Source organism: Homo sapiens, chromosome 17 (genome assembly GCF_000001405.40).
Source record: "Homo sapiens chromosome 17, GRCh38.p14 Primary Assembly".
NCBI lineage: Eukaryota > Metazoa > Chordata > Mammalia > Primates > Hominidae > Homo > Homo sapiens.
In genome coordinates, this window is record NC_000017.11 from 74423588 (window position 1) to 74431473 (window position 7886).

General features: G+C 53.9%; 3 annotated features.

Annotated features, from left to right (window-relative positions):
* Positions 912-1412: an enhancer, noted in NCBI's record as "H3K4me1 hESC enhancer chr17:72420638-72421138 (GRCh37/hg19 assembly coordinates)". NCBI's record gives its function as "activates a minimal SCP1, AML or CMV promoter by ChIP-STARR-seq in primed H9 embryonic stem cells {active_cell/tissue: H9 hESC(primed)}" and the evidence as "EXISTENCE:reporter gene assay evidence [ECO:0000049][PMID:30033119]".
* Positions 3146-3910: an enhancer, noted in NCBI's record as "H3K4me1 hESC enhancer chr17:72422872-72423636 (GRCh37/hg19 assembly coordinates)". NCBI's record gives its function as "activates a minimal SCP1, AML or CMV promoter by ChIP-STARR-seq in primed H9 embryonic stem cells {active_cell/tissue: H9 hESC(primed)}" and the evidence as "EXISTENCE:reporter gene assay evidence [ECO:0000049][PMID:30033119]".
* Positions 7374-7513: a silencer, noted in NCBI's record as "silent region_8932". NCBI's record gives its function as "represses an Ori minimal core promoter by ATAC-STARR-seq in GM12878 lymphoblastoid cells {active_cell/tissue: GM12878}" and the evidence as "EXISTENCE:reporter gene assay evidence [ECO:0000049][PMID:35858748]".

The following is a 7886-nucleotide window of genomic DNA, read 5'->3' on the forward strand; positions in this document are numbered from 1 at the left end:
GGTCTTGAACTCCTGACCTCAAGCAATCCACCCGCCTCAGCCTCCCAAGGTACTGGGATTACAGGCGTGAGCCACTGTGCCCTGCCCATTGCCCCATTTTATAGATAGGCAAGTTCTGTGCTCTTTGGGCTCCTCTACTGCCCCTCTAGCTCTAAAACTGTGATTCCATGTGGGGAAGTCAAAACCCAGGCTTAAGCCCGGGCACAGTGGCTCACACCTGTAATCCCAGCACTTTGGGAGGCAGAGGCGGGTGGATCACCTGAGGTCAGGAGTTCGAGACTAGCCTGGCCAATATGGTGAAACCCCATCTCTACTAAAAATACAAAAATTAGCTGGGCGTGATGGCGGGCACCTGTAATTCCAGCTACTCGGGAGGCTGAGGCAGGAGAATCGCTTGAGCCCAGGAGGCGGAGGCTGCAGTGAGCTGAGATGGCACCACTGCACTCCAGCCTGGGCAACAAAGCAAGACTCCGTCTCAAAACAAACAAACAAACAAGCAAACAAACAAAAACCCAGGCTTAAGCTTTATGCCCGTCACCACGTGACCTTGGTAGGCTCCTCTCACCCTGGCCTCCAGCTTCCCCGTAAGGATAACGAAGTCAGCCCCATCGTCTGGGGGGTGCAGCTTCTCAGAGGCCAACCCTGGGGCGCTTTGCTTTGTTGGAAGTTGAGTTTGATTACAGCTCTAATCATTTGTCCCCCAAAGTCAACTTTCTTTTATTGCTTACACTGCAGAATCATCCAGTCTCAATTAAAAAAAGAGATCCCACATAGTCCAGTGGTTAAAAAAAAAACCAAATTTTTTTAATAGGAAAATAGACCCTCAGAGGAAATTGGTCACTGGGTTTAACTGGGAGGGATTGTCTCGTGCCTGTGAATGGGTTAATGTATCAGGGTGGGCATGAGGACAAATTATAAAACCAAAGGAAAATGCCGAAAGGCCATGTGAGTGACAGCAAGAATGAAGGCTATTGCATCCGAGGCCTGAAGTATAGACCCAGGTCCCACTTTAGCATAACCACGGCTGCTATTAAGACCCTCAAACGCACCATCAGTGGTTCTGAATTTTGCATAATGATTGAACTCTGCCGTATCATCAGAGGGGAGGAGAACGGCGTGGAAACCAAAGGGCTGAAATCTCAGCCCCTGCCAAGCCTTCTGGGGCTCCATCACACTCCCAGAATAGCGCGGCTAGGTTCCCGGCAGCCTCGGGCTGCGCCGCAGCTGGGCTTCCGGAGAGCGAGACGAGTCAAGCCTCAAGCACTGCCGGGGACAGCTGGGACTGGACACCACCCAGAAGCCAGCTGGCTGGCCCTGCCCTGCCCTGCTGGAGGCACCATCTCTGGTGAGTGGGGGCATGTCTGACTCCCCTGCGGCTCTCCCACCATTACCTGGGGCCCCAGCTGAGTCAGGGGTGGCCTCAAATCCCAGGCAAGAGGGTGGCATCAGTGAGTGGGTCTCCTGAAGTCTTTGGTGGCAGTGGCTGGAGAAGGTGTTAAAGGGCTGAATGGCCCTGCAGGTAGGGGAGGCTGCAGTGTGTGCCAGGCGGATGTGACTTTAGGAGGCCAGTGGCCACCAGCAGAATAGGGATGGGAAATGAAGATGGGCGGGCAGGGAGACACAGCCCTGCCACAGGCCAGGCAATTGCCCCGTGCAGTGCGGTCTTGAAGCTGGCGTCTGAAGGTGAAGGGATTGTTGGAAGAAGGGAGGGTGGCCAAGCCCGTTTCCAGCTTGACAACAGTTATGTGTTTTCCAGTATCCTCCTTCATTCATTTATTCCCTTACAAGTATTAATTGAGGCAGGGCCCCAGGGGAAACACAAAGATGGGTCAGGCACACATCTTCCCTTCCCAAGAGCTTATACCTTGGCTGGGGACATAAAGCATGACAGAAATAACCATCGATAAGGCAGAAAATGTCAGGGCTATATAAGAGATAAGAGAAGTGTACTGGGGAGCACGGTACAGTGAGGTGCAAGTCCAGCAGGCTAAAGGAAGATAGTTCTAATCTACAGCTAGCCACTGAGTCTCTATGAACCTCAGTCTTTAAATATATAAGATGGAGACAATAACATCTGCCTTATGGAGGCTTATAGGGTTGTAAGCATCAAATATATATAAAAGGTGCTTGAAATTGTACAGCAATATACAGAGGTAAGCTATTATGGGTATCGTATTATCCAACTAGCCAGCATCTCTCTGAACTTCTCCGCCTGGAATTCTGGGAGCCACAGGGAGCCCAGGATCTGAGTACTGGGTTCTTGTCAGCAGCAAAGCAAAGTCTAGACCCTGAGGCCTCCTTTCCCCTTATAGAAGGCTGACAGCCTCTCTCAGCTCTTGGCCAATCAATCCAATTGATCCACAGATATGTAGTGCCCATTTTTTGGATGTATAAAGCACTGTGCTAGGGACCATGGGCGTGGAGAGGCATGAAATCCAGAGTCCATTCCCTACAGACCTATCATGAGCCAGGGAGGCAAGATCTCTGTTTATAAGATACACCTGGCCGGGCACGGTGGCTCATGCCTATAATCCCAGCACTTTGGGAGGCCAACATGGGCGGATCAGCAGAGGTGAGGAGTTTGAGACGAGCCTGGCCAACATAGTGAAACCCTGTCTCTACTAAAAATACAAAAAAAAAAAAACTAGCTGGGTGTGGTGGTGGGCGCCTGTAATCCCAGTTACTTGGGAGGCTGAGGCAGGAGAATCGCTTGAACCCAGGAGGCAGAGGTTGCAGTGAGCCAAGATTGCACCACTGTGCTCCAGCCTGGGCAACAGAGTAAGAATCCGTCTCAAAAAAAAACGAAAAAGATACATCTAAGGCAGAGCCATGTAAGAGTAGCAAATGCATGCCAGAGGTGGGATCCCAGGAGAGCAGAGGGAGGAAGAGGACTACAGGGTGGGGGGTACCAGCAAAAGCCTCTGGGAGGAGCCAAGGGCTTTAAAGGGGGATGGAATCAAGAGGTCGAGAGGAGGAGAGAGGCATCCTGGATTGAGAATACGGGACATGTGAGCGAACTCACAGGAAGGCAAGTGCGGGGGCGAGGCAGACTCAGAGCAGGCTTCTCAGGCTGGAGTGACCATTTCCTGTGGGGGAACAGGAAGGAGAAGAGGCTGGAGTCAAGGCTAGGTACAGGTTGCAGAGGCCTTGAATGCCAGGCAAGGGAGCCTGGACTTTCACATAAAGGCACCAGGAGCCAGTGAAGGTGTTAGGAATGAAAGGTGTTGGGGTGAAGTCAGTGAAGGTCCTGCCCCGGATGGGGGTTTGCAGGGTGACTGGAGAAGACTGCCACCAGGGGCCATCACTCTGGGGGCTGGTGTAGCCACTGCAGCAAGGTAGAAGGAATGCTCCCCCCGAAATGCTCACAGATTGGGGTGAGACGCTTCCTGAAGGTAGGGGAACAAATTGCAGTGAGGGCTACACGTTTCCATTTTGATTTTGATAGAGGCAGGCTGACTGAGTGGCCTGGATCCCTGGACCCTTGGCCTTGATGTCTGGTTCTCAGGATTTGCGCAGTCTGTGGATGGAGGCTGACCAGATCAGAGCAGCTCAGGGGACCCCGTTCTCTCCTTCCACAGGGAGTTGGTTAGCGGCCACTGAGCCCTGGGCAGGGAGGGGGATGAGGGAGGAGCAGATTTTGCAGCCATGGGGGAGGGTTCAGCATCAGGTGACATTCCAGTGGACTCTGCCCAAGGCCTGCTTCCGGGTACACTTCCAGAGCGATCACCCATGGGCAGCCAGTTGTGGTGAATGAGGGTTTCACTCGCCTGCTCCCTGGCCCTGGCTTCCTCCTTCTTAAGGGGCCACGATGGGACCCGAGTCCTTTCAAAAAACTAGGCAGTTCCCGCTGCTCCAAGCAGAAAGTCCTATGAGCCTAAGAGAAAAAGAGATTTGGCCAGACACTGCAGCCAGGGCAGGAACCAGTTAATATGAGCCTGGGAGCAAGGAGAGGTGAAATGCTGTTTACCAGCAGCCGGCTGTGGGTTGCAGGGCACCCAGCCACCTAGCACAGGATTCCAGGCCCCAACTTGTCAGGAAGCAGGAGCCCCACCCTCAGCTCAGTGAGGGACTATTCCTCCCCATCTGGGGCCTGGCTGCAAGACCTAGGGCTCTCCACTCCCCAGGTAGAGGGAGCAGGCCTTCTACTCTGTGGAGGAGGAAATGGCTCCTGTTGGAGATTCTGCAGGGTGAGACTGCAATCCAGAACTCCTGCTGCCCAGGCAAACTGGGAAGTCCCTCTAAACAACACAACTGACCTCTGGCTCTCCCTGGGTAGGCCTCTCCATGCCCAAAGCCGGGGTGCCAGGGCCTCCTGCCCTCATCTCTGATGCAGGGCATTGCAGCCCCATGGCAGGTGACTTCTCCAGTAGGCACTGGGGCTTGCCTGCTTCTCAGAAAGTGGGGTACGGGAGGCAGGGCAGGGGTGGTGCTGTTTGCAAGGCTGCTGGTGTGAGGGGGAAGATCGGCCGTGGCCAGCCACAGAATAACGGATATTCCACAAGCATTTACTGAAAACATTTACCCACACCCGTCTGAGTGCCAGATGCCAGGGAAAACAAGATGAGTGAGACATGTCCCTGGCTCTCTAGAAGGGCACAGTGTAATTGGAGAAAAAACAATTTAGAAGGCTAATTATGATACACTAGGATAAATGATAAATAAATGAATGTGTAACAGGCTGTGGGTAAATAGGGCAACTCACAATGGGTCTTTCGTGGGAAGGTGAGGATCGCTTCACAGAGGAAGGAACATTGGAGCTGAGCTTTGGGGCAGGGCAGATTTTTTAAAACTTTTTGGTCACAAAGAAAAAGGATGGTAAGAGGCATAAAATGTTCGAGGTGGAAGGAACATCACACAGAGCATGGCATGGCAAAGCTATTCCAATCATGGTGAAACAGAACTGAAAGAATGCCAGCTTCTGCAAGAGTTTGGGTTAAAAACCATTAGGCCAAGCACGGTGGCTCATGCCTGTAATCCCAGCACTTTGGGAGGACAAGGAGGGAGGATTGCTTGAGCCTAGGAGTTCCAGACCAGCCTGGGCAACATAGTGAGACCCCATCTCTACAAAAAAATGCAAAAATTAGCCATGCATGATGATGCACTCCTATAGTCCCAGCTACTCGAGAGGCTGAGGCAGGAGGGTTGCTTGAGCCTGGGAAGTTGAGGCTGCACTGAGCCGAGATCGCAGCACCGCACTCCAGCTGGGGTGACAGAGTGAGATCCTGTTTCAAAAATAATTGATTAATTTAAATTTAAATTATAAATAAAAACTGTCAGACCTGTCAAGGCTTAGAGGGAATGACAATCATGCCAGGAAAGGGGAGGCTGATCGCTGGCTCCCTGTAAGCACCAGGCTTGTGTGAGGAACATTCCAGACACAGCTTCATTCTGGGGGTGATGTTATCATCCAGTTTTACAGTTGAGGAAAGCAGGGCTCAGAGAGATGAAGCAACTCATCCAAGTCACACAGCCGGCAGGTGGCACAGGTGTTCCCACCTTTGGGCCTTGTCAAGACCTCAGACATCTCTGAAGGAGGCTTTCCAACGAACAAAGGGTTTCTCACTCTGCCAGTAGGAATCCAACTCAGGTGGGGGTGGAGGTAGTTGGGTGGTGGACACAGACATGCTTCTCCGCAATCCAGAATCTTTTTTTTTCCTTTTTATTTCATATATTAAAAAAAATAAAATAAATAGGCTGAGCGCAGTGGTTCATACCTGGAATCCCAGCACTTTGGGAGGCCGAGGCGGAAAGATCGCTGGAGCTCAAGAGTTCAAGACCAGCCAGAGCAACACAGTGAGACCCCATATCTATTTTCTTTTTCGTTTGTTTCAATAGAGATGAAGTCTATGTTGCCCAGGCTGGTCTCCAACTCCTGGGCTCATGCGATCCTCCCACCTAGGACTCCCAAAATGCTGGGATTATAGGCGTGAGTCACTGTGCTGGGCCTCAAGATCTCTTTGAACAGTAGCACTCTTTGAACACTTCTCAGAGTGTAGTTTTTTGGTGAAAACAGAGTTTGCAATGGGTTCTACGCCTACTGGGGTATTAAATCAAAGTGAAGGACATTTGGGGGCACAGAGGACCCTGTGGCTGGAGTCTCGGAAAGCAGCGCCACCTCCCACAGAACTTCCCTTCCAGCATCACAGGCTCGCTGGGTCCAGCAGCCCCCACCAGGGTCTGACTCATGGTGGAGGGGTCTCATGCCTTCTCCAACTCTTGCCTCCCCACTCTGGACCAGCACAGGCCCCCGGGACTAGAGCAGAGACCAACAGGGACCCTGAAGGCTGAAGCCCATGTCATCGGCCCCAAAGGACTTGCTTTGTCCTTTAAAGGCAAATCCTGCCCAGGAAGTGAGACGGAGTGAACACAAAAAGAGCAAACAGCTCTCAGGAAACCTCCCTACATATCCGCCGCCATCTACCATGCAGGGCTGGCAGTGGGCAGGGCTCCGCTGCTCCGTCCAGGCCTCAGATGCCCCAGCCTTTCCCCCGCCTGGGTCGGGAGGGAGTGGTAAAGAGTTGCCTTTTTGGAGAATCTAGGTAGGGAAAAGAGATTCCCAAAGCTTGAAAATAAATTGAAACAGATCTGCCAGATCCACAATTCATCTTTGGCTTCTTAAGGTCACAAGCAGTCTCGGGGACTATTTCCATTCCACCTTCCTCTAGCTCTTAGCTGGCTTTTCACATATGCTAATGAGCGGCCCCTCCCAGCACACTGTGTTCAGCACCAGTTGCCTGCTTCACGAGAACTAGTCCCAGCCCACAGTCACGGATGCCCCTCGCCTAGGTCTGACCCGCCGTTTGCCTTTCTAGCGTTGGCACTCAACTGCTTGGACCCTACAAGCGTTTGCCTCCCTGGCATGGGGGCCTCTGAATCTTAGGGTGGGAGGTGGAGCTACGGAAGGGAGCCCAGGAGTGAGCAACAGATCAGCAGCAGCACTGCGCCCCTCTTCTTAATATTGAAGAGACTTGAAACAATTCAGTCTTCGCCACCCCAGACCAGCCCGTGAGGGCAAGGCCAGGAAGGGATACAGGGTTCTAGAGAACCAGGGCCTCACCGCCAGCTCCGGCCGCTAAGCAAACATTCCCTCCAGGAGTCCGAGAAGCCGGTGTGCGAGGGGAGGAACCAGCCTGAGGTTTATCGCTCCAGCAACTCCGGGTGATTCATAGAGTTTAGACTCCCGGTTGTCGTAGACCGCGGCAGGCACGCAAACAAGCAGCCCGGGAGATACCCTCCCCTTTCCCAGCCCCCGCTCCTCCACCTTGCTACCCCCTAGCCCGTGACCAGCTGCCTCCCCTCCCCCTCGCGGGCGCTCAGGGTTGAGCAAACACTCCGGGCCGCCCGCCCCGCCACCAGCTGGCTCCGACCGGCGCACCGCTGGCGATCCCCCAGGCAATTCGGCGTCATGAGAACCGGCACCCCGAGACTCGGCGCCCTGCCCTCCCTCCGCGTCTCCAGGGCCCTGGCCAGGCCCAACAACCTCTCCCTCCTCTGTGCGCCTCAGCCCCTACGGGCCTCTGGCGCGGGCTAACTAGGCCTCGCTGCGGGCCCCCAGGACTGCGCACCCCACCCCCCGCGAGGCCAGCAGCCCCGGGGGAAGGCGGCCGGAAAATCTCTTGTTTATCGGGCTGGATAAGTACCAGCCTGGATTCGCTTCCCAATTTCTGCGGTCCAGCTTCAGCAGATTCCTGGGGCCGGAGGGGAAAGGGTGGCAACCCACAGATCCACCCCGGAACAGGGAGTGGGGGGTGGGGCTGGTGGGAACCTGACCTCCTGGAAAGGACGGACTCGGAGTCAGAGCCAACGTGTCCCGGAGCGCAGAGGCCCAGGGGGTCGCGCTAAACACTGTACCTCGGGGAACAAAACCGTGAAGGCTAATTAGGACA